Source organism: Homo sapiens, chromosome X, assembly GCF_000001405.40.
Source record: "Homo sapiens chromosome X, GRCh38.p14 Primary Assembly".
Taxonomy (NCBI): Eukaryota; Metazoa; Chordata; class Mammalia; order Primates; family Hominidae; genus Homo; species Homo sapiens.
In genome coordinates this window covers 16177806-16204370 of record NC_000023.11, presented here as the reverse complement: position 1 = coordinate 16204370, position 26565 = coordinate 16177806, and the positions used below count along the sequence as shown (strand labels likewise).

The window sequence follows — 26565 nt, the reverse complement described above, 5'->3', positions numbered from 1 at the left end:
GTTATTTTTTAATGTACAATTAAGTTACTATTGACTATAGTCACCCTGTTGTGCTATCAAATATTAGGTCTTATTCATTCTTTTTTTTGTACTCATTAACTGTCCCCACCTCCCCCTGCCAGTCCCCCATTACCCTGCCCAGCTTCTGGTAGCTAGCCTTCTACTCTCTATCTCCATGGGTTCAATTGTTTTGATTTTTACATCTCACAAATAAGTGATAACATGTGATGTTTGTCTTTCTGTGCCTGACTTATTTCACTTAACATGATGATGTCCAGTTCCATCCATGTTGTTGCAATTAACAGGATCTCATTCTTTTTTATGGCTGAATAGTACTCCATTGTGTATATGTACCACATTTTCTTTATCTGTTCATCTGTTGATGGATACAAGGTTGCTTCCAAATCTTAGCTATTGTGAACAGTGCTGCCACAAACATGGGCCCCTCAGGCTAGTTTTGACAGAATGGCTACATGGTTACAAAAATGACTTATGTGGTATGATCCAGAATTTCATCTAGAAAGATAAAAACAGTCTGTAAAATTTCAGTAAGATTGTTTAAATTTAGGAAAGTTATAGAAATCTAAAGACTCAATGGTTACTTTGGTCATGTGTTACAGGTTTGTAACAGAAAGAGTCTGTTTCTTGTCTACTTTCCCCTCTAGACCACAAGATCCTTGATGTCAGGGAATTTATCATCTTATTCATTGTTTGGTCTCCTGGACCTTGAACATTGCCTGATACATAGTAGATTCATCATAAGTATTTGTTGAATAAGTAAGTGAATGAATTAATAAGTGGATGAATAAAAAATGATAAAATTATTCTCCGTGAGAAATTTTTATTATCTTAATTTATACTGTGTGACTATCAAAGTCTTTAAAAACTGAATGCAAATCTTAGATTTCCATAACTCTTTATAGTGAACAAGTGAGAAAGATGTGCACTTTCCCCATATACATATGCACGCATGTTTGCCCACACTGACAAAGAACATGGGTAACTCATTCTATTGGAGGAAAAAAAATCAATCAAAAATGTTTGTTTTCGCTGGGAACGTCACCAGGAACAAGATTGTTGCTGTGCATTTACTGATGAAATGTTTAAGGGGCAGCTGTAGGTAATTCATGTCTGTGCTTCCAGATCACAGAAACTGGCATTCACTTTAGAGATAGCAACGGTTTGTTTCTATTTGTTTTAATCTCACATCCAAGCTTTACTTGCTCCAATGTCATTTTAATATTGTTTCCTTGCCAAGGTGAGCAGTGAAAAACACCTGGTGTTGGGATCAAAGGTTAATCACAGGCACAGCTTCCAACTAAATAGAGGTGAACATGGCTACTACTGAATCTGCAGGAATCCGCTGTTGAGCAAAAAGCACCAGTCTAGGCATTGGGTGTGTATTATTTGTCTTTTGCTGCCTAACAGATTATCCCAAAATCTTAGCAGCTTTTTACAGAAATATTAATTCTCTCACAGTCTGTGAGTCAGGAACACGGGCAAGGCTTAGTTGAGTCTTCTGACTAAGGGTTTCTCAGTGGGTCACAAACAAGGTACTGACGGGGACTGCAGTCATCTCAAGGCTTGATGGCTTATAATTTCACTCACATGGTTGTTGACAATATTCAGTTCTTCACGGGCTGTTGGACTGAGGGCTTCAGTTTCTCTCTGGCTGTTGACCAGAGGCAGCCCTCAATTTCTTGCAACATGAGCTTTTCCACAGGGCAGCTCACAACATGGCAGCTGGCTTCATCAAAGCGAGCAAGCAAGAAGAACCAAAGAGAGAGTGCAAGCAAGATGGAAGTCATGGTCTTTGGCAACCTAATCACTGAAGTGACATCGTATCACTTTTGCCATGTTCTACTCATTAGGAGCAAGTGACTAGGTCCAGCCCACACTTAAGGAGAGGGGATTACAACAGGAAGGCGTGAATAGTAGGAAGAAGAGATCACTAGGAGCCATTTTAGAAACAGCCACCAAAGAAGACTTATATCTCAGTCAAGTGACAGTAATTACCAGCATGATACTGGTTATATTATTTTGCTGTTTTGCCCTCAGTTCTCCCATTTGCAAAATGGGGGGGTTGGACTGAATTGCCATTGGTGTTTACAAGATGTTAATAAGTTTATCCTATCTCTGGGATTGAATTGTTGGACATAAATGCCATAGGGCATTAAACATTCTTCATTATGTTAGCTAAGCCTTTTGGCCTCAAAGAGTAAGGTCTTTCTCAAGTTACCACAAGGAAAGTGCTCATCTATAGTTAGGATCCAGGTGGTTTGAACTGAAATGGGAGGTAAAAGGTGATTCTAGGAATTCACTTCTTTCATCATATCCGAGGGGGCCTTTGTCATGGCATTTTTGCGTTGCTCTGGAAATCTATTCCATTCTCCTCTGCCTTCTCCTTAACACATGTCTTTTACTTACTCGGTTTCTGCTTTCTCGCTATTTTAATTTGCCATGGTCCATCATCACCTGAATCCTACTATCTGACATTTCCTATATACATCCTTTCAATGACTAATGTATTCCATATCTCCCAGGGTAAATTCCTGAGAAAGACAATCTTAATGTTCTAGGTCATCATTTCATGTCAGGCTTTTTGGGAGATATGGAAGGTCAACACAGGCTCACTGTAAGTTATTGTACACCCATCCTCTAGTGTTTTGAATATCTTACACATGAAGGAACAAATCCAAGGACCACTTCTGATGAGCTCAAAATTCTTCCACTTCCATTTATAGCCTTTTCTTCCTTATTATTGATAAAAAATAGTGTACAACAAGATAAAAATCTAGGGTTGGGTATAAGTCTATGATCTGTGTTCTAGACTCTACAATAAAGACAGGAATCTAAACAACAAGAAAAATTAACTCAAATGTCTTGAGTGATTTGTTCTATTGATGAATTTGGAAACTATGACTTTTTGACCTCCCCTCACCTTTACCTTACCCTGAAGTATGGTGGACAGAGAATTATCTGAATTACATCCAGGGAGAAGGTTTCAATTGATTTCAAACGTTCTGAATGATTTCAGCTAAATTAAAACTTTTGCTAAGTCCCTGTTGACTTCCCAGTTTAGAGTACAGGTCACAGTAGAAAATCCAGGTCATTGAGGACATATTTACTTTGCTCTGAAGTAAGAATGGAGAGTGCCTTTAGATACACACACACACACACACACACACACACACACACACAGGTCTTCTCTCCAATTAGGAATCAATCTGGCTTTGTGTTTCCCTACTTTTGTTGAAAATAGAATTTGTAGCTTACAATGTAATTTCACTGATGTGCTACCCTTGTAATTAAATGAAGATTCAATGATTCTTTTGTTATCCTTGCTTGTTGATATTTATTTTCTTTTTAAAATCTCCTGAGGATTCATTTCTTCCAGAAAATCTTTTGCAACTTGATTCCTTAGTTGGGCTGTAATCAATTATATGCTTTGGGAGCCCAAAGACGGTTGAGTATTTTTAAATCCAGTCTCTTTACTTTACAGTTGAGAAAACTGAGGTCAAGTAAAACTAAGTGGCTTGCCTAACATCATGTAGCTAGTTAGTGGCAGAGCTACGACTGGAGTCCATGTTTTCATACAAAATTTAAAGACCTTTACACCTTAATTAGTCAACTGACAAAGTATTATTGAGTATCCCCTCTCTTCTCAATTGTAAGTTAGAACCTGTTATGGAGCTAAGATATATCAAGAGAAATTAGAAATAATCATTTCTCACCAAAAGTTCTACTTGTAGCCCTCAAATATGTGGGGTTTACATTTCACAGCAAGATCTCCTACTGTGGTAGTCATGGGTATCTATTGATCAAATGTCCAAAGTTCTACTATGGTTCTTCAACCACATTCAAATATATCATCTTACTACTGTTTGGGCACAAAGAATAATACCTCCAAAGCATGGTGGTTTGGCATGCTGAGCACTTAGAATTAAAAGAAATTGGAAGGCTCTCCTCCCTCTCCCAAGTGCAGGGAGAAACTCTGGTATTTCCTTATCTGACTAAGGATACTTATTTTTTAAAAGAAATGCAACTGTTAGGAACCTATTCCTTGGGAATCTTGTCAAATAACCAGGAATGATTAATCATTGGAGAAGAGAAGAGACTAAAAGTCATCACCACACCTGGATAGACTTTTCATCTATGCTTCTAAGGGCAGTCTTGAGAGATTACCTGAGAGACTTTATCTACATAAGAAGACAATCTTTGTTCACAGTACAGTTCCACCCATCACCTTCCCATAGCTTCCCATTTTAGTTTCCGAAGAAAATAATTTAAAAGATAATGTCTGTATCCCAGGCCCATTTTTTTTCGCTAAAAATCATGAACTACCTCTTTAAAACTGCCTACAGCACCCCACTTCACTCTCCCCTATGAAGAGAATAATTAAGCCTCAACCATCTGGCCCTTTTTGTCTCATATTTGCTGGACTCCTGTTTCCATGTGTATGTTAATAAATTTATATTGTTAACAGAAGAAACAAACTCTGCAAAATATTTTAAACAGGTTTATTCTGAGCCAAGATGAGTGACCATGGCCCAGGGAACACGGTCTCGAGAGGTCCTGAGAAAGTACACCTACAGCAGTCAGGTTACAGTTTAGTTTTGCACATTTTAGGGAGGCAGAAGTTACAGGCAAATATATAAATCATTACATGGAAGGTATATATCAATTTGGCCCAAAAAGGTAGGACATCTCTAAGTCATAGGTAGGTTTTAGGTATTCCTTAGTTGACAGCTGGTTGAGAGAGTTAAGCTATTGTCTAAAGACTTGAAGTCAGTAGAAAGGAATGCTTGAGTTAAGATGAGGGAGTTTCGGGGGCAAGGCCCTTGTTATGTAGATAAAGCCTCATAGGTAGCAGCCCTTAGAGAGAATAGATGGTAAATGTTTCTTTCCAGTCCTTAAAGGCATCAGACTCTCAGTTCATCTCTCCTAGATCCAGGAAAGACCTGGCTGCATTGATGGAGATTCTCTACAGATGCAAATTTCTCCCACAAAAGACAGATTTGCAGGGTCCTTTCAAAATATGTCAAAAAAATATATTTTGGCTATTTCTCATCTTGCAAGATGGCAGGTGAAAAAGTTGAGAAGCCAGATACTAAAGACAAGAAACCCGAAGCCAAGAAGGCTGATGCTGGTGGCAAGGTGAAAGGGTAGTTACCTCAAGGCTAAAAAGCCCAAGAAGGGGAAGTGCCATTGCAGCCGCAATCCTGTCCTTGACAGAGGAATTGGCAGATATTCCCGATCTGCTATGTGTTGCAGAAAGGCCATGTACAAGCGGAAGTACTCAGCTGCTAAATCCAAGGATCCAAGGTTGAAAAGAAAAAGGAGAAGGTTCTTGCACTTGTTACAAAATCAGTTGGTAGTGACAAGAATGGTGGTACCCGGGTGCTTAAACTTCTCAAAATGACTAGATATTATCCTATTGAAGGTGTGCCTCGAAAGCTGTTGAGCCACGGCTTCAGTCAGCACGGGAGAAAACTGCGAGCCAGCATTACCCCCTGGACTATTCTAATCATCCTCACTGGATGCCACAGAGGCAAGAGGGTGGTTTTCCTGAAGCAGCTGGGTAGTGGTTTGTTACCTGTGACTGGACCTCTGGTCTTCAATCGAGTTCCTCTACGAAGAACACACCAGAAATTTGTCATTGCCACCTCAACCAAAATTCATATCAGCAATGTAAAAATCCCTAAACATCTTACTGGCATTTACTTCAAGAAGCAGCAGCTGCAGAAGCCCAGACACCAGGCAAGTGAGATCTTTGACACAGAAAAAGAGAAATATGAGATAACAGAGCAGTGCAAGATCAATCAGAAAGCTGTGGACTCACAAAGTTTACCAAAAATCAAAGCTATTCCTCAGCTCCAGGGCTACCTGCGATCTGTATTTGCCCCGATGAATGGAATTTATCCTCACAAGTTGGTGTTCTAAATTTCTTAAGGAGAACTTAATTAAATGAGATATATATATATAAAATATTTTTATTTCCCTCAGGGTCTGCTATCTGTCATGTGATGCTATACCAGAGTCAGTTTGGAAATCAAGCCACATTATACCTGGTGAATAAAAAGCCTGTTTAACAAGGTTTTATGGTTTGTAGAGAGTGACTTGACCTTTGCTTTGCATGACCTTAGGTCTTCTTTATAATTTAGTATTTTATTGCCACAAAGAATCTGGTTTTTCAGTCCTGGGATCTCTATTTTAACCCTAATGCTGGTCAATCGTGCCTAAACTGCAAAAGGGAGTTAACTCCCTTCCTGTCATGCCGGGAATTCAGCTTTTCAGGTTTCTCTGGGGTCTCCTTGGCCAAGAGGGGACCTGTTCAGTCAGTTGGGAGGCTTAGAATTTCATTTTTTGGTTTACAGCATGCTTTTTCTTTTATTAATCTGTCTATTGTCAGTCTGTTCAGACCTTCAGAGGGAAAGTTTGAGCTTCCCTAACACTACTTAAGCTAGTTTACCATATCCTATTGCTTCCATCCCATCTTCTTCTCAAGACAGCCTAAACTCCTTACTCCTGAATACAACATATCCTATCCCCTTTGCACCTTTACTCATGTCGTTTCCCCCCTCTCCTTTCCACTTGCCAAAGACATTTGTGGTCTATATCAGGATCCTTTGTTTCCTTGCAGCATCTTTCATCTATTGTATTCTGCCGTGATTTCCTTTTGCTTGGAGCTCCCATAACAGACAGAACATTCATTTATTATTCCTTTCACTTATTGACACTGTATCCTATTCTAGGTACTGATCTAACTATGTGGATAAAGGGCATCAAAGACTTGACAACATGATTTTTACCCTCTCGATGTTTAAAATTACACCAGGAAAAATAAAGCCACACAATTTTGGAGAGATAACATTTCTACATATTAACTTATAAAAGTTCTCTTTTTAAGTTCCCTTCTATTCTGCTTATTCAATCAGACAGCAGTGTGTTCTTTTTGGGGGATGATATATATGGAAAGGGCTGAAAAACAGAAGTAATCCCTTTTCTGACTTTATCCAAAAGACTAAGTTTGTAGGGTCTCCATGATATTCTGAGGATATCCTCGTGGGTTATCAAAGAAGGTAAAAAGTAGTTTTTGTGTGTTTTCAGCCATTTTCAGAGTTTTGAAAAAGCAGAGGGAAGAGAGGTTTTCTTCTCTCCCAGACTAGAAATTAATTTCCCCTGAGAAATGGAACAAGAAGGTGAACCTAAGGATCTTGGGATAACTTCCTGGATGTTCTGCTGGCAAGCCCCCAAAGCTGATTGGCTCAATGGTGCATTTTACAGTTGAAAGTAGCAAACTATGTCCTTGTCCCAGTGGAGATGTTGTTAGAGATAGAGGATGACTCAGCAGAAGCCTTCATGGGCCATGACTGAAAATCAGATGGTCATTCTAAGCCCTCCTCACCCCTGCCTCCAATCAACATTTTGTCCCAAGACATAAGAAGCCTGATACAATGTTGAGGAGAAGGTGGGGCACCACAGGAAGTACAGAGGCTTAGTAATCCATTAGCCTGTTGGAATGGGTATTTGGAGTCAGAAATTAAGTTAAAGTACAAAAAAATATAAAAGTGATAGTCTGTGTACCCTTGAAACTGTGGATGGAAGTATATTTCTGCTTTGTGCTTTAGTGTAACATTCTCATCTCCCTTAGTTCATTTTGTATTACTATCAAGGAATACCTGAGGCTAGGCAATTTAGAAAGAAAAAAACGTTTACTAGCTCACAATTCTGCTGGTTGGAAAGTTCATGATTGAGCATCTCCATCTGTTGAGGGCTTCAGGAAGCTTCCATTCTTGGCAAAAGGCAAAGAGGAGCCAGCATGTGCAGAGACCACATGGTGAGAGAGGAAGCAAGAGAGAGAGAGAGGGGAAAGGTGCCAGGCTCTTTTAACAACCAGGTCTTTCAGGAACTAATGGAGTGAGAAATCACTCAGTCCCAAGAGAGGGCATTAATCTATACATGAGGGATCTACCTCGTGACCCAAACGCCTCCCACGAGGCACTACCTCCCAATACCACCAAACTGGGGGCTAAATTTCAACATGAGATTTTGTGGGGACAGACAAACCATATCCAGATCATAGCATCATCTAACAAAATGTTCCCTTTGGGCATCCCAGATAATTGATACAAATGTCTCCATTTGTAAGCTGAACAATGTGTAGTATAAAAAATATTAAAAACTTTTAAAACCACTCGGTTTTGGACAATATATAACATGTCACTATACTCCAATGTCCCACAATGTCCTCAACAAACGTTCCTTCAAGTATGACTTGAGAATCTGTCACCAAAACAATCAAAGCAAAGAATTAAAGCAATTTAAAAATCTGCTAATAGCAAAACATGTTCTAAAATCAAACTTAATCATTTCACAATAAATGGTGAAGGCCTGCCTAGGGAGGAACCTTCCCTCAGTTAGTTGTCACACTCTTTTTGCGTTTGAGGGATGTTCTGTGATACAGGGATTTTTTTTGAGGTACTGTGATACAAGGTTTTTTGTTCCCTACCCAACTTTTGGACATTTTTGCAAATAAATATTTAACCCAGCTGTTTAAAATCAGTGATTGGCCAAGTCAATTTTTCTCTCCTGCTGAGTGGCGGCCTCACTTTTATGCATTATACCAGATATGTGAGGGTTCACTCAGCATGTCCAAAGCAGAGTAACCAAAATTGGGACCTATTGTGCATGGCTGGCTATCCCATCTGGAAAGCCTGGGACATGGATGTGATTCCTGTGGAATAAAATTTGCCATTTTAAATTTGCACCCCAGCCAGTCATATCAACACTGTCTTCCTCAGTCAGGAATCCCCAGGAAAAAAGTGTTATAGATTCACTCTCAGAAGTCAAAGGAGAACATATTTATCAAATGGAGGAAGAATTGTTCCTACCAAATAAATATTTCATCACTAGACCTTACATTATCCAGTACAGTAAGAACTTATCAAGCATGTTCTGAAACTGCTTTGCTTACTATCACATGTACTCCAAAGGAAGGATTTACATGGTAAACTTGAGTGAACACTCTAATATGAGCAGAATTGGCCATCATAGTGACAAAAAAGGAAAATTTACATTCTTATAAAGGCATTTTGAAATTTCATTATGCATGTAGTTTATTTTGCCCTTAGTCTTTCCTCTATGGAAAAATGAAACTTATTCAGTTTCGTGTTGATACTATGGTTGAGTTTGCTAAATATGAGTATTATTATAATTTATAAATCATAATCTCTTTGTTGTCATTTTAGTCCCTCAAAAGGCTTCTTGCTACTCCAATAAGATTTCTGTTCTTGCCTCTTCCCCCTACTACTCCACCCTCCAATCAGTGTGTTTCTTTTGCATTGGCATTAATGTAATATAAGGGAAAGTGTGGGAAATGATATCTAAAAAAAATTGAGTAAAGTTTTAAAGATTGTTTTTGCTCCTATTTAGACCTAAGACAACAGGAACAAAAATATTTTTTAAATTGCGAAACATTGGTTATAAAAGGAAATTAAGCCAGACTACAGAAACACACACACACACACACACACACACACACACACACAAACCTGGATGACCATCGTACCATGGTGCTGCAAACCATATTTTCTGGCCAGGATGCTTGAATAGGTTACCATTTTCTTGCAGGCTTGGCATCTCAATATTATGGTTATAGCTCATAAGCATGGTTTATAATGTAATTTTCTCCAAATTTATATTGGTGAAACCAAGTGACCAGAAAAAAATGAGTTAATTTGAAGGCTCTAATCCAATATTAAAATGTTAATGGCCTTGAAGAGCTTCTAATCCTTCCAAATGAGGTCATGACATATCAGAGATAATAAGCCATCTTGAAAATATCCTAAGAACCAGGTCTCTGGGCAATGGTTTACAAACTACGCAGCATCCATTCAGATTATTTTCCATCCCAATTTAGGAAGCAAATAAATAATTACTATTTTGAGGGGAGAATTATAACACTTAAGCATTCTGAGGGTTACATATTTTAAGGGACTAATTCCTTACTGCCTGATTTTTAATTCTCAATATATCTACTGTAATCTTTGCTAGTTTAAAAAAATATTTAAGTATTCAATAAAGTGCACTAATTATACATGTGTAACTTGATGAACTTTTATGACTCAGATCAAAATATAGAACATTTCCAGTACTCTGGAAGGCTGCTTCATGTCCCTTTCCAGTCAATACCCCCTTTATTTATTTATTATTTTGAGATGGAGTGTTGCTTTGTTGCCCAGGCTGGAGTGCAGTGGTGTGATCTCAGCTCACTGCAACCTCTGCCTCCCAGGTTCAAGCGATTCTCCTGCCTCAGCCTCCTGAGTAGCTGGGACTACAGGTGTCCACCACCACGCCCGGCTAATTTTTTTTTTTTTTTTGTATTTTTAGTAGAGATGGGGTTTCACCATGTTGGCCAAGCTGGTCTCAAACTCCTGACCTCAGGTGATCCACCCACCTCGGCCTCCCAAAGTGCTGGAATTACAGGTGTGATCCACCATGCCCGGCCCAATACCCTCTTTTTAGAGATAAAAAATATTCTGACAGCTAAACAATATTAATTAACTTTGCTTGTGCATGAATTTCATACAAAGGAAATTATATAGTATATGTCATTTTGGGTCTGGCTTCTTTCACTCCCCAAGTCTGTGAGAGCTATCCATGTCACTGTACGTTTTTCTGTAGTTCATTTTTACTGTTGTGTATTATTCTATTATATGAATATACTACAATTGATATCTCTTTCTCCTATTGCAGGCATTTATGTTGTTTTCAGTTTAAGTTATTATGAATAAGGCTATTATGGGCAAGTTTGTATATGTCTTTGGAACACATATGCATTCATTTTTCTTGGTTATTTCCTAGGATTTGATTGCTAGGTCATGTTTATCTTAAGTAGATGCTTATTTAGCTGAAGTAGTCACCCTCAGTGTTTTAAAATGGCTTTACCAATTTACATTCCTACTAATAATGTATTTGAAAGTTCCAATTGCTTCACATCCTTGCCATCACTTGGTATTATCAATCTTATTAATTTTTGACCTTTTATTCAGTGTGCAGTAATATCTTATTGTGATTTAAGTTTGACTTTTCCTGAGAATTAAATAAGTTGTACACCTTTTTATGAACTAATGGACCATATGGATATTCTCTTTGTAAAGTGCCTGTTCAAGTCTGTTGCCTGCTTCTAAATTTGGCTATTTGTCTTTTTTTATATTTATTTGTAGGGGTTCTTCATATATTCTGGATATGAGCCATTTTTTTGTAGATCTAAAAATGTTTCTCCATTTGTGGCTTGCCTTTTTACTATCTTAAAAGTATCTTTTGATGAATAGGAGTTCTTAATTTTAGGTAAGTTCAGTTTATCAATCTTTTTTATGGTTAGGGTTTTTAGTGCAATTTTAAAGAAAAAATTGTACCTTTTCTAGTTTTGCTTACTGGCCAACAAAAAAATATAAGAATTGAATCTAGCATTCTTACTGCTGTGGACAATCAGAAAACTTTAAAATGCTATAAAACTCCACTAGAATAGCTAGAATTTTAAAGACTTTCAGAAAAAAAAAATGTTGGTGAGGATGTGGAACAACCAGAAGTCCCATTGCTGGTGTGAGTGTAAAATAATATACTCACTTTGGAAATCTATTTGTCAGTTTCCTACAAAGTTAAACGTACACCCACTCTATAACCCAAAATTTCTACTTCTAGGTATTTACTTAAGAGAAATGAAAACATATGTCCACAAAAAGCCATGTATAAGAATGTTTACAACAATTTCATCTTTAATAGCCCCAAATTGGAAATAAATGAAATATCTATCTACAGATCAGATAAGCAAACTGTGGTATATTCATACAATAGAATAATACTTAGCGATAAAAAAAGAATTACTGATACAAACAATAACATGAATAAGTCTCACAAACATGCTCAGGGAAAGATACCAGACACAGAGAATACATATTGCATAATTTCATTTATATGAAGTTGTAGAACTTGCAAATTAATATGTGGTAATAGAAATCAGAACAAGCTGACAACTTTCAGTTCTAGAAAATATTTTTCTTGCAGAGAAAACACACAAAGAGTTGATGAACAATGCAGGGAGAAAAACTGTATTGTCTGAAAGACAAACACAAATACTACTGGCAGATAGTTTTAGTTTATATTTGAGGACAACAAGATGGCAACTTTTATTATTAGCAGCCCAGGAAACACAAACAACGTGTGTCTGTGTCAAATGCTTTATTCTCCAGCACCGAAGGACATTTGGAAGCTTTGGCTCATAGGAAACCAGCCAGTGTGGCTATTAGGGAGGTGACAGTCAAGAGGATGAAAGGACTGGAGGGGAGGCAGAGCCCAAGGCAAAAGGAAAAAGGAAGGTCCGCTCTGCTACCCAAGAGAGAGGTCAGTTATTAAAGAGCTTCCGAAGACAGAATGCCAATTCTGAGACTTGTCCTAAGCAGATTTTTTCATTCTCTCTCACCACTTAGTTATAATCACTACTGTGACACAGATTATACACGCACTTTGTTGCTTATTGTTAGTCTGTGCCATTGTGTGACCTTTGGACTGTTGAATTTCAGGTTTCAGCTTGCATTGATGCTTACTTCTCTTTTCTTCGTCTACTTTAATTAGGCCACAAGCAACGGGGCACCATAATTTCGTCTATTCTAGGTACAGCTACAGATGGAATTATTTCCATGTTATGAGGAAATGAAAACTAAGGCAGGGAAAACATTGTGTCTGTTTTCTACTCCAATGTGGAAGATCTTTTGGAAGGCCTAAGTCTCACTGTTAGCATCTTTGAGATACTTTGTCTTTTTCTATGAGTTCTACATGTAGGAGAAGTGGGCATGATGAAACTTATTCATTCAAGAGATGAGGCTCAGAAACATCCGCTGAAGGATAAGAAAACTGAGTAAGTGCATACACTGTTGGGAGGAATGTAAATTAGTATAGCCACTCTGGAAAACAGTATGTAGATTCCTCAAAAAAACTAAAGATAGAACTACCACATGATCCAGCAACCCCATTGCTAGGTAGATACCCAAAAGAAAGAAAATCAGCATATTGAAGAAATGTCTGCACTTCCATGTTTATTGTAGCCCTATTCACAATAGTCTAGATATTGAATCAACCTAAGTGCCTATCAACAGATGAAAGGATAAAGAAAATCTGGTATGTGTACACAATAGAATACTATTCAGCCACAAGAAGAATGAAATCCAGTCATTTGCAGCAACATGGATGGAACTGGAAAACATTATGTTAAGTGAAATAAACCAGGCACAGAAAGATAAATATTTCATGGTCTCACTCATATGTGGGAACTTAAAAAATTAATTGGAGCTGGTGAATAGAATGGTGGTGACAAGGCTGAGAAGAGTGGGGGAAGGCGAGCATGAAGAAAGGCTGGTCAATTGGTACAAAAATACAGTTAAGTTATTTTATTTTATTTTAAATTTATTTTTTAAAAATTTATTTTATTTTTTTTAAAGACATCACTCTGTTGCCCAGTCTGGAGTGCAGTGGCACAATCATAGCTCACTGCAGCCTCAGACTCCTGAACTCAAGTGATACTCCCACCTCAGCCTCCTGAGGAGCTAGGACTACAGATATGTAGCTAGGACTATCATGCCTGGCTAATTTTTTGATTTTTTGTAGGGATGGGGTCTTGCTATGTTGCCCAGACTGGTCTCAAACTCCTGGCCTCAAGTGATCCTCCTGTGTCAGCCCCAAAGCACTGGGATTACAGGAGTGAGCCAGTGTGCCTGGTCCAAGAATATAGTCAGATAGAAGGAATAAGTTCAATATCACAGTCAGGTGACTATAGTTAATAATTTGTTGTATATTTGAAAATGATTAGAAGATGTAAAATGTTCGCAACACAAAGAAATAAGAAATGTTTGAGATGATAGATATCCCAATTATCCTGATTTGATCATTACACATTGCATGCATGTATCATAATATCACATGTACCCCATAAATATGTACATGTATTATGGATCCATTTTTTTTAAAAACTACAATAACTAGAAAATATAAAAGAAAACAGCAGATTTAAAGCATCTCTAATACTCAAGAGTTGGCCTGGTCCTATTAGCTAATCCTTGGTGTTGCTAAGAGCTAGCTTGGCACTTACAGCTAAACCATGGTGTTTTCTTGTTAAGCGTAAGCAATCTCACAGAGCACCAGATTCAGATAAGCCCACTCTGACCGCGATGGATCAAGAGAAAATAAGACCACCTTGCAGTCATGTCTGAACACAAACAAAAACATGAACATCGTTCAAACCACAAAAATGATCAAATGGCTTTCTATCTTGGCTAATATAAGTAACGGATGCTGCCTTATCAATGACAGTGTTAGCCTCATACTAGTCTTCCTTCCTTTAGATAAGATTTATTATGACACTCAATAATAGAATTACCATTTCCTAACAGCTTGTAATCTGGAATAAAGTCCTGCTTCCTGAACCTTCCTCCAAATCACCCACTACAAGTCCAAATACTATGATAAGTCCTAACACCCTCTATTGAGATGCCCTATGGCTCCCCATGGTGTTCATTCACTCTCATTGTAATAAGTCAATAAAGCCAACTTTGACTGGCTATAGGTGTGCTCCTGATGGTCTTTAGCTGAAGGACATTAACAGAAGCATAAAGAAATTGAGTGGAATTTCGAAGACAATGTGAATACCAAGAAAAATCACACCTTGAGGACCATCTGCATATAGGTCAGTACCAAAACTCAATTACGTGCCACTTGAGAGACTTCTTGTACCTCAATCATTTTTAGCCTGGCCTCTTGGCTACTAGAAGCAGAAAGAAACAAAACTTGTATGTCTCATTTGGAAACCTTGTATTGAATATGTGCCTTACTTAGATAAAGATGCCCAGGGAATAGGTGTATGGTGTCAATATTTAGTGGGTCAGAGACAATAAACATCTTTGTCAGAAAATGGGGCTCATGGAATCTGGAGAAAGACAGGTGGAATCATCGCTGGGGTGACTGATGTAACGGAAAAGTATTAAGAGAAAGAGTGAGAGACTGAGTCCTGGAGTCCTTTCCATAACATTTACACCAGGAGAAAATGCTCTCTGTGCCTGAATCCTGGCCCCAGCCCAGACATACAAATGCCAGTTTCCTACAATGACTCTTGGTGAACAAATTCATTCCCAAGGCTCTAGGTTGTTTTGTGAAGACATTGTCCTTTTGACAGGACATTTACAGTTTTTTTAACCACACTACTATGTGGTAGTTAAAAATCAGGTTCTGGAGTCAAAAATACCTGAGTTTAAATCCTAGCTGCATCAGTTATAAGTTACTGTTCTTGGGAAAGTTCCTAACCTCTTAGTGCTTCAATTTCTGTATCCAAATAACAGAGACAATAATAACTGTACCAACTGCACCTGCTTTGTAAGATTTTGTGTAAAGTGCTTGCATGATGTTTGGCACATGGTAAGCTTTCAATGAATCATAGCTATTGTTCATATAATTGGTCTATATTTGGAAGTACAATGATGTCACCTTTTCCTAGTATCTGAATATTTGTTTTAAGAGAGTTTTACATAGATGTCAAACATACTTATGTAGTTACATGCGTACATATACACTCAAATACATATGTATACATATCCATACACAGATGAACACTTGCATTCATGGGTTTTTCATGAATACTGGGCTGGTCCTTAGGTGGGTAAATGCTGTGAAATTATGGGGCTCAGGTTAGCTCAGGAATGAATATAAGCCTGTAAAAGGCTAAAGGTGACTTTGTAAATTTCTAAATCTTAGTGCTGATAAATTTTACTTGGCTTTTCCTGAGCCTTTTCCCTAAACTTAGAAGTTTGCTTCCTTAAATAATTTGACAGCCCCTCTTGTCATTTTACATTCTCCCACTAGTTCTTATCCCAGAAATTATCATGACTGTTAATACCAGCCCTCTCCTACAGTGCTTTGGCCACAAAGGTACCAAAGAGCCATGGCGAATAATGACTTAACTATTGTTAATTCTTGTCCCTCAAAAGGGGGCCTGTCTGAAAGAAGTCCCAATAGACCGTAACTCCAAAGTCCACACAGTGATAATGTTTTTTATTAAAAAGAGTTTGGAATGGCTGGGCTGGGAGCAGTGGCTCACGCCTGTAATCCCAACACTTTGGGAGGCCTAGGAGAGTGGATCACGAGGTCAGGAGATCGAGACCATCCTGGCTGACACGGTGAAACCCCGTTTCTAGTAAAAATACAAAAAATTAGCCGGGCGTGGTGGCGGGTGCCTGTGGTCCCAGCTACTCAGAGGCTGAGACAGGAGAATGGTGTGAACCCGGGAGGTGGAGGTTGCAGTGAGCTGAGATCGCGACACTGCACTCCAGCCTGGGCAACAGAGCAAGCCTCGTTCTTAAAAAAAAAAAAAAAAAAAAAAAATGTAAAAAGAGTTTGGAGTGACTGCTCATAGCTTACAATGCTGTTTCAAAGGGAAGAATCAGGGAAACCATCTAACACAGGGGAAGTGTGATGGAGGATAAGTCAGAGTAGAAAAAGACAGTGACCTTACTCAATTATGCTTTAAAATAGCTTGTATTTGTGAATTTGACAAAAATATATGACCATATGAATCACTGCTAGGGCCCCTTCCAGGGCCTTGGAAGGATTCAATACAAGTGTGGGGCCCTGAGGTTAAGCTGTTTTAGTAATGCTGCCTATGCCTCCAACTCTCCCAGGCACCGATAGGGTTTCAGTTGCAGTTGTCACTTGTTCATCCAAAGGAATAACTATTTTGTGCAGACTGGTGGGAGAACAGGTTTAGGATTGCCATTCTAGGTGTTGGGCATGGACTGTGTCTGTCTTATTAGCACTGAAGCCCCAGGGCCAGCATAATGCCTTCCACAGAAGAGGTGCTCAGTAAATACGTGCTGTATGAAGGAAGAAACTAAGAATTCCACCCCCGGGATGACAGGGATAGTGAATTCCAATGATTTATTGAGTGAGGGATAAATGATACAGAGAATGTGCATAGCACTAAAGTTTACAAAAGTCTTTCGTGTACATAAGAGGTTGGCAAAACACAGCTCATGGATTGGTAGGTCAAATTTAGCCTGCTGCCTTATTTTGTAAATCAAGTTTTATTGGAATACAGCCACATGCATTTGTTTACCTATTGTCTAGACTGTTTTCCTGCTGAAATAGCAGAGGTGAGTAGCCACTGAGATCACATGGCCTGCAAAGGCTAAGATGTTTACTATCTGGACCTTTAGAAAAGTTTGTTGACACCTCATGCATATTATCATATTTTGATTTTGAGCCTCATTTCATGCCTGTGAGGGAGGTCAAAACTTAATATCTCTTCCTGACAGATGAAAAAAGTTGAGACTCAGGTTAAATGACTTTGCCTGGTTAGTTGCATATCAAGAGTTGACGTTGAACCTAAGTGCTGGGACTAATTCAGGTGTGCCACGAATGTAGGTTGCTAAACTACTTGTAAATGAGCTCATGCTGTGAACCTTTAGAGATGGAAAGCCGTTTTCAGAGGAGCTCAGTAAATGAAGCAAGTTTCAGTGTTTCCACTAAGGCTTTTGGGCAAGCTTTGCATAAGTGCCACATATAACTCAGGCCTTAACACTTAAGTCTACCCCAGCCAACTTTCAACTGCAAATGTCTACTTTTAATGTTTAAATGGAAGGCCACTCTGCTTATATGTAAGGCAGGCTGGAACTTCCATGAAACAATTCCTCCCAAGAGAGGTTAATTCCTGCCAGAAGTTGGTATATAAATACCCCAGCTCCCTCTCTCCTTGGGTTAAAAACCCTCAAGGCATAGGTTTCACACCACTTCTCAGAGTTGCCCTGTAGGATTAAGCTCCAGTTTCCCACAGTGGAAGCTGGCTTGATAATGCATCCTTTATTGGCTGCCTTCTCTGTTTTGTGACATTTCCCCACTCTCCTACCAGTGTTATCTGCACCTCCCAAATAAACTACCTGTACTTGTATCCTTCTCTCAGATTCTGCATTTGGGGAAACCCAAGCAAAGACAGCTTTGGATAAATGGAGGCACTCTTACAGGGGAGCAAATATTTGGCCTCATTATGATAGTTCACTGTGATGTTTCAAAGGGAAGGATCAGTCATTAGGATGGGGTTAATCTTCTGTAGTTCATTCTATTAACCCAACTACTAGTTTGCTGATGAGGGCTCACTTTTCCTGCAGTCACTGATCCTGGAAGATGCTCACCTGAGGAAAGTCTGCATCAGCCAAGACACACATGGCTGCTGCTGCTGAAGTGGAAAATACTGCAGTGTCATCAATCAATGCCTTCCACATGCTCTTGGCAGAAGGGCAATTAGTGTTACTCAGGATGAAAATGAATATAAGGCTGTGGATGAATGGGTTATTGAAGAGACTATCGAATCAGCCTGGCTGTTAGAAGCGGCCAGAGGCAGTGGGGAAGGCTCCTTGTCTGTGCTGGGCAACAGCTAGTGTAGAGCAGCCTTCTGTCTCAGGCTTGGAAGGGGTCATTCAAGTGACAGAAAGATTAGTCATTTTTACCAGATTAGTCATTTTTACCACTTCCTCCCTTCTGGGTTATCCTCTCAACAGACTCAGCAAGTAGGGTCCATCTACTCACAGGGCTGTGGCCATATTTTCTTTTATAAAAGCCAGAAAATGGAATCCCTTCAATGTAGTGACATGATTTTTTGCAAGCGTTTCCTTTTTATCCCTGCCTTTGGCTGTCTCTCACTGTCTATATTTCTCCCTTTGGCTCTTTCTGCCCCCCACCTGTCTCTGTATCTCTGCTTCTGTCTCTCTTCCCTTCCTTTCTCCGTACCTAGTTCTCCCGTCCGCTTCTCTTTCCTTCTCCTAGTTTCTCTCTTTCTCTCCCCACCTTCCTCTGCTCTGGTCTTTCTTTTGGTCTTTGGAATATTTTCTCATGTTCTGACATTCTTTAAGGTAGGTTCATTTATTGAATCCTTGATATATCTCCCAAAGAAAAGCAGTTATAATTAAAATCTTTGTTACTTGTGGGCAAATAACCCCATATAAAATCAGATTCATTTTCAAGTAAAATTCCCTCTTGGGCTTTAAAAGCCTGACTCCTAAAGTTCCCCAGCTGGATAGACTGTCTGCTTCTCTGTCTTTAAGCATTATCCAGGCATGGCGGGCACAGTGGCTCATGCCTGTAATCCCAGCACTTTGGGAGGCCGAGGCAGGCGGATCATGACATCAGGAGTTCAAGACCAACCTGACCAATATGGTGAAACCCCATCTCTACTAAAAATACAAAAATTAGCCAGGCATGGTGGCGCATGCCTGTAATCGCAGGTACTCGGGAGGCTGAGGCAGGAGAATCGCTTGAACCTGGGAGGCGGAGGTTGCAGTGAGCCAAGATCATGCCACTGCACTCCAGCCTGGGTGACAGAGCAAGAGTCCGTCTCAAAACAACAACAACAACAAAACATTACCCAGGCAGCAGGGTGCACAAAGTTTAGCCACCTTTTAGAAATAGGTGCCAAGTATTGTGTCCTGCTCTGTTTGCCTAGGTTTATTGGCTGTAGTTCACAGGTGAGCCTCTAACAGAAGAGAAGACATAAGCAGCTTTCACACCAGAATGGAGCCAAGATGTCTGCAGGCTTAGTGACTGGATCTGAGACATCCCTGATATCATCACGGGGTTGAGACCTGGAACTTTCAAAAAAACTCTTGGTTCTGTATTATCAGTCCAGAGGCAGAAGTACTAAAAACCTGCTGGAAAGCAGCAACAGGAGGAGAGGGAGAGAGCTCTGTCTCAAAGACTCAAAATGGTCTTATAAACCAAAATTCCAAAGAAAGTAAAGAAATTATGTGTTAAGAAAGACGGCTGACAAAATCACCACTCAAACATGAATTCACTCAGGATGAAATTAAAATAATTTTTTAAAGTTTAGAAAAGACTTGATCATTGTCAGGCCTCTGAGCCCAAGCTAAGCCATCATATCCTCTGTGACCTGCACGTACATATCCAGATGGCCGGTTCCTGCCTTAACTGATGACATTCCACCACAAAAGAAGTGAAAATGGCCTGTTCCTGCCTTAACTGATGACACTGTCTTGTGAAATTCCTTCTTCTGGCTCATCCTGGCTCAAAAGCTCCCCTACTGAGCACCTTGTGACCCCCACTCTGCCAGCCAGAGAACCCCCCTTTGACTGTAATTTTCCTTTATCTACCCAAATCCTATAAAACGGCCCCACCCTTATCTCCCTTCGCTGACTCTCTTTTCGGACTCAGCCCGCCTACACCCAGGTGATTAAAAGCTTTATTGCTCACACAAAGCCTGTTTAGTAGTCTCCTCACACTGACGCGCATGAAATTTGGTGCCGTGACTCGGATCAGGGGACTTCCCTTAGGAGATCAATCCCCTGTCCTCCTGCTCTTTGCTCCGTGAGAAAGATCCACCTATGACCTCAGGTCCTCAGACCGACCAGCCCAAGAAACATCTCACCAATTTCAAATACAGTAAGTGGCCTCTTTTTACTCTCTTCTCCAACCTCCCTCACTATCCCTCAACCTCTTTCTCCTTTCAATCTTGGCGCCACTCTTCAATCTCTCCCTTCTCTTAATTTCAACTCCTTTCATTTTCTGGTAGAGACAAAGGAGACACGTTTTATCCGTGGACCCAAAACTCCGGCGCCAGTCACGGACTAGGGAAGGCAGCCTTCTCTTGGTGTTTAATCATTTCAGGGACACCTCTCTGATTATTCACCCAGGTTTCAGAAGTGTCAGACCATGCAAGGACGCCTGCCTTGGTCTTTCACCCTTAGCGGCAAGTCCCGCTTTTCTGGAGGAGGGGCAAGTAGCCCAACCCCTTCTCTCCGTGTCTCTACCCGCTTCTCCGCCTTTCTGGGGGGCAAGAAACCCCCAACCCCTTCTCCTTCACTCTTAGCGGCAAGTCCCGCTTTTCTAGAGGAGAGGCAAGTACCCGAACCCCTTCTGTGTCTCTACCCCTTCTCCACCTTTCTGGGGGGCAAGACACCCCCAACCCCTTCTCCTTTACCCTTAGCGGCAAGTCCCGCTTTTCTGGAAGTACAAGTGCCCCAACCTTGTATCTCGGCGCCCCAATCCGTTATATCCACGCTCCTCCCCTCCTCCCCAGGCTGCTCCTCGCCAGGCCGAGCTAGGTCCCAATTCTTCCTCAGCCTCCGCTCCTCCACCCTACAATCTTTTTATCACCTCCCCTCCTCACACCCGGTCTGGTTTACAGTTTCATTCCGTGCATAGCCCTCCCCCACCTGCCCAGCAATTTCCTCTTAAAAAGGTGGCTGAAGCTAAAGGCATAGTCAAGGTTAATGCTCCTTTTTCTTTATCAGACGTCTCCCAAATCAGTGAGCATTTAGGCTCTTTCACCAAATATGAAAAACCCAGCCCAGTTCATGGCTCGTTCGGCAGCAACCCTGAGACGCTTTACAGCCCTAGACCCTAAAAGGTCAAAAGGCCGTCTTATTCTCAATATACATTTTATTACCCAATCCGTTCCTGACATTAAATAAAACTCCAAAAATTAAATTCCGGCCCTCAAACCCCACAACAAGACTTAATTAACCTCACCTTCAAGGTGTACAATAATAGAGGCAGCCAAGTAGCAACATATTTCTGAGTTGCAATTCCTTGCCTCCACTGTGAGACAAACCCCAGACACATCTCCAGCACACAAGAACTCCAAACGCCTGAACCGTAGCTGCCAGGGGTTCCTCCAGAACCTCCTCCCCCAGGAGCTTGCTAAAAGTGCCAGAAATCTGGCCACTAGGCCAAGGAATGCCCACAGCCCAGGATTCCTCCTAAGCCGTGTCCCATCTGTGCAGGACCCCACTGAAAACTGGACTGTTCAACTCACCTGGCAGCCACTTCCAGAGCTCCTGGAACTCTAGCCCAAGGCTCTCTGACTCTTTCCCAGATCTTCTCGGCTTAGCAGCTGAAGACTGACACTGCCGGATCGCCTCAGAAGCCTGCAGGACCATCACAGACGCTCTAGGTAACTCTCACAGTAGAAGGTAAGTCCGTCCGCTTCTTAATACGGAGGCTACCCACTCCACATTACCTTATTTTCAAGGGCCTGTTTCCCTTGCTTCCATAACTGTTGTGGGTATTGACGGCCAGGCTTCTAAACCTCTTAAAACTCCCCAACTCTGGTGCCAACTTAGACAATACTCTTTTAAGCACTCCTTTTAGTTATCCCCACCTGCCCAGCTCCCTTATTAGGCCGAGACACTTTAACTAAATTATTTGCTTCCCTGACTATTCCTAGGCTACAGCCACACCTCATTGCTGCCTTTTCCCCCAGTTCAAAGCCTCCTTCACATCCTCCCCTTGTAGCTCCCCACCTTAACCTGCAAGTATAAGACATCTCTACTCCCTCCTTAGCGACCGATCATGCACCCCTTACCATCCCATTAAAACCTAATCACCCTTACCCCGCTCAATGCCAATATCCCATCCCACAGCATGCTTTGAAAGGACTAAAGCCTGTTATCACTCACCTGTTACAGCATGGCCTTTTAAAGCCCATAAACTCTCCTTACCATTCCCCCATTTTACCTGTCCTAAAACCAGACAAGGCTTACAGGCTAGTTCAGAATCTGCGCCTTATCAGCCAAATTGTTTTGCCTATCCACCCCATGGTGCCAAACCTATATACTCTCCTCAATACCTCCCTCTACAACCCATTATTCTGTTCTAGATCTCAAACATGCTTTCTTTATTGCACCCTTCATCCCAGCCTCTCTTCGCTTTCGCTTAGACTGACCCTGACACCCATTAGGCTCAGCAAATTACCTGGGCTGTACTGCCGCAAGACTTCACAGATAGCCCCCATTACTTCAGTCAAGCCCAAATTTCTTCCTCATCTGTTGCCTATCTCAGCATAATTCTCGTAAAAACACACGTGCTCTCCCTGCTGATCGTGTCCGATTAATCTCCCAAACCTCAATCCCTTACAAAACAACAACTCCTTTCCTTCCTAGGCATGGTTAGTGCGGTCAGAATTCTTACACAAGAGCCAGGACCGCACCCTGTAGCCTTTCTGTCCAAACAACTTGACCTTACTGTTTTAGCCTAGCCCTCATGTCTGCATGCAGCGGCTGCCGCTGCTTTAATACTGTTAGAGGCCCTAAAAATCACAAACTATGCTCAACTCACTCTCTACATTTCTCATAACTTCCAAAATCTATTTTCTTCCTCACACCTGACGCATATACTGTCTGCTCCCTGGCTCCTTCAGCTGTACTCACTCTTTGTTAAGTCCCACAATTACCATTGCTCCTGGCGCAGACTTCAATCTGGCCTCCCACATTCTTCTAGATACCACACCTGACCCCCATGACTGTATCTCTCTGATCCACCTGACATTCACCCCATTTCCCCATATTTCCTTCTTTCCTGTTCCTCCCCCGATCACGCTTGATTTATTGATGGCAGTTCCACCAGGCCTAATCGCCACACCAGCAAAGGCAGGCTATGCTATAGTACAAGCCACTAGCCCGCCTCTTAGAATCTCTCCTCATTTTCTTTCCATTGTGGAAATCTATCATCAAGGAAATAACTTCTCAGTGTTCCGTCTGCTATTCTACTACTCCTCAGGGATTATTCAGGCCCCCTTCCTTCCCTACACATTAAGCTCCAGGATTTGCCCCACCCAGGACTGGCAAATTAGCTTTACTCAACATGCCCCGAGTCAGATAACTAAAATACCTCTTAGTCTAAGTAGACACTTTCACTAGATAAGTACAGGCCTTTCCTACAAGGTCTGAGAAGGCCACCGCAGTCATTCCTTCCCTTCTGTCAGACATAATTCCTCAGTTTAGCCTTCCCACCTCTATATAGTCTGATAACAGACCAGCCTTTATTAGTCAAATCAGCCAAGCAATTTTTCAGGCTATTAGTATTCAGTGAAACCTTTATATCCCTTATGGTCCTCCGTCTTCAGGAAAAGTAGAATGGACTAAAAGTCTTTCAAAAACACACCTCACCAAGCTCAGCCACCAACTTAAAAAGGACTGGACAATACTTTTACCACTTTGCCTTCTCAGAAGTCAGACCTGTCCTCAGAATGCTACAAGGTACAGCCCATTTGAGCTCCTGTATGGTTGCTCCTTTTTATTAAGCCCCAGTCTCATGCCAGACACCAGACCAACTTAGACTGTGCCCCCAAAAAACTTGTCATCCCTACTATCTTCTGTCTAGTCATACTCCTATTCACCGTTCTCAACTACTCATACATGCCCTGCTCTTGTTTACACTGCCGGTTTACACTGTTTCTCCAAGACATCACAGCTGATATCTCCTGATGCTATCCCCAAACTGCCACTCTTAACTCTTGAAGTAAATAAATAATCTTTGCTGACAGGACTATGCTGAATCTCCTTAGGCACTCTCTAATTAGATGTCCTAGGTCCTCCCAATTCTTAGACCTTTAATACCTGTTTTTCTCCTTCTCTTACTCCGTTTAGTTTTTCAATTCATACAAAACTGTATCCAGGCCATCACCAATAATTCTAAATGACAAATGTTTCTTCTAACAGTCTCACAATATCACCCCTTACCACAAAATCTTCCTTCAGCTTAATCTCTCCCACTCCCACTCTAAGTTCCCATGCCGCCCCTAATCCCGTTCAAAGCAGCCCTGAAAAACATCGCCCATTATCTCTCCATACCACCCCCAAAAATTTTCACTGTCCCAACACTTTACCACTATTTTGTTTTATTTTTCTTATTAATATAAGAAGACAGGAATGTCAGGCCTCTGAGCCCAAGCTAAGCCATCATATCCCCTGTGACCTGCACGTATACATCCAGATGGCTGGTTCCTGCCTTAACTGATGACATTCCACCACAAAAGAAGTGAAAATGGCCTGTTCCTGCCTTAACTGACGACATTGTCTTGTGAAATTCCTTCTCCTGGCTCATCCTGGCTCAAAAGCTCCCCTACTGAGCACCTTGTGACCCCCCACTCTGCCCGCCAGAGAACAACCCCCCTTTGACTATAATTTTCCTTTACCTACCCAAATCCTATAAAACGGCCCCACCCTTATCTCCCTTCGCTGACTCTCTTTTTGGACTCAGCCCACCTGCACCCAGGTGATTAAAAGCTTTATTGCTCACACAAAGCCTGTTTAGTAGTCTCTTCACACAGATGCGCATGAAAATCACAAGTATGCCTAAGTTGAAAAACTACATTTTCATAAAAATAACAAAAAATTATAAAACAAAGCAGACTTGAAAGAACAAGGGTGGGTAGATATGAAAGGAAGAAAAACAAAACAGAATGAAACATAGTTAATTGTGCTAAAGACTCAATAGATAAAATGAATTGAAATCTGGATACATTTGAATAAAGAATTTGTGAATCAGAAAACAGTGTTGAAGAATTTAACCTGAATATTACACAGATACTGATATCAAATATAACAGAACAGTCACAATAAGGTTGAGGAATAAACAGGCATAATGTGAATTACATGAGAAAAAAGAGAGTGGGAAGTTGAAGAGGCAATATTTAAGAAAATATTGAACATTTTCCATAATTGACAAAAGACATGAGTCTTCAAAACAAAGCACACTTTGAGACTGAGCAAGAGAAATAAAATTATACCCACCTTTAGACATATTGCAGTGGAATTGAAGAGCAGCAAGAATAAAGAGAAAATATCTTAAAAGCTACCAAATAAAAAAGACGATACAACAAAACAATTAGAAAGCAGACTTCTCATTAACAATAGTTGCGAGGAGACAATGGAGTAACGTATTCAAGCTAGAAATTTATGTGCATATACATTCTTATTCAAGAGTGAAGGAAAAATCAGATTTACAAAGGCTATACTTATGATCCAGACCCTTGTTGAAAGAAATATTACAATATATACATTATCAAGAAGAGAAGTGAACACAGAGGGAATGCTTAAGATGTGTGAAATCACAATGAACAAATAAATTGGTAAAATATGCCAGTAAGTTTAATGACGGAAAAAAGTAATTGTTTTGTATCAACCAAAGTAAAACTAAATTTCAAAGCAACAATAAAATGATCGAGTTGTTCAATGGATAGTTAGAGCATGCTAAAATCTTTGCCTTTGGAAGGAAGATAAATAAAACTGGTTAACATTGTATTGTTTAGAAAATGTATATGTAAATATGTTTTTAAAAGTTGATGAGTTCTAAAAAAAATAAAATAAATATAAATTAGTTAAATTCACCCAGTAAAAGACATAAACTATCAGATTAGAGTAAAAATGAAAACCAAATCTGCCACCTTAATTTATAAGAGAAACTCCTAAAATAAACCCATATATAAAGGGTTAAAATAAAGACCTGAAAAAAGTACATCAGATCAATATTAACCAAATTAAAACTTGGATAGCAATGGCAATATATAAAAAGTGATTAATTTTTGTCTGTTTTTATTATCAGCCTTCATTCTTATTGAACTCTTTTATTAGTACCTGTAATTATTCATTATAATGTCTTAACTTTTTAAGATAACATGCATGTTAATTGGGGTTAACTTTATTTCCGTTTCCTCTTTTCATATATAACTTACTT

At 40.2% G+C, this 26565-nt stretch overlaps 1 pseudogene, besides 3 other annotated features; it reads left to right on the top strand.

Annotated features, from left to right (window-relative positions):
* RPL6P30 (ribosomal protein L6 pseudogene 30) lies at nucleotides 5061-5969 on the top strand (annotated as a pseudogene).
* Nucleotides 17130-17874: an enhancer, noted in NCBI's record as "OCT4-NANOG-H3K27ac hESC enhancer chrX:16204620-16205364 (GRCh37/hg19 assembly coordinates)". NCBI's record gives its function as "activates a minimal SCP1, AML or CMV promoter by ChIP-STARR-seq in naive and primed H9 embryonic stem cells {active_cell/tissue: H9 hESC(naive and primed)}" and the evidence as "EXISTENCE:reporter gene assay evidence [ECO:0000049][PMID:30033119]".
* Nucleotides 17868-19067: an enhancer, noted in NCBI's record as "CDK7 strongly-dependent group 2 enhancer chrX:16203427-16204626 (GRCh37/hg19 assembly coordinates)". NCBI's record gives its function as "activates an origin of replication core promoter dependent on BRD2, BRD4, P300/CBP, MED14 and CDK7 cofactors, with strong dependence on CDK7, by STARR-seq in HCT116 cells {active_cell/tissue: HCT116}" and the evidence as "EXISTENCE:reporter gene assay evidence [ECO:0000049][PMID:35650434]".
* Nucleotides 24632-25257: an enhancer, noted in NCBI's record as "OCT4-NANOG hESC enhancer chrX:16197237-16197862 (GRCh37/hg19 assembly coordinates)". NCBI's record gives its function as "activates a minimal SCP1, AML or CMV promoter by ChIP-STARR-seq in primed H9 embryonic stem cells {active_cell/tissue: H9 hESC(primed)}" and the evidence as "EXISTENCE:reporter gene assay evidence [ECO:0000049][PMID:30033119]".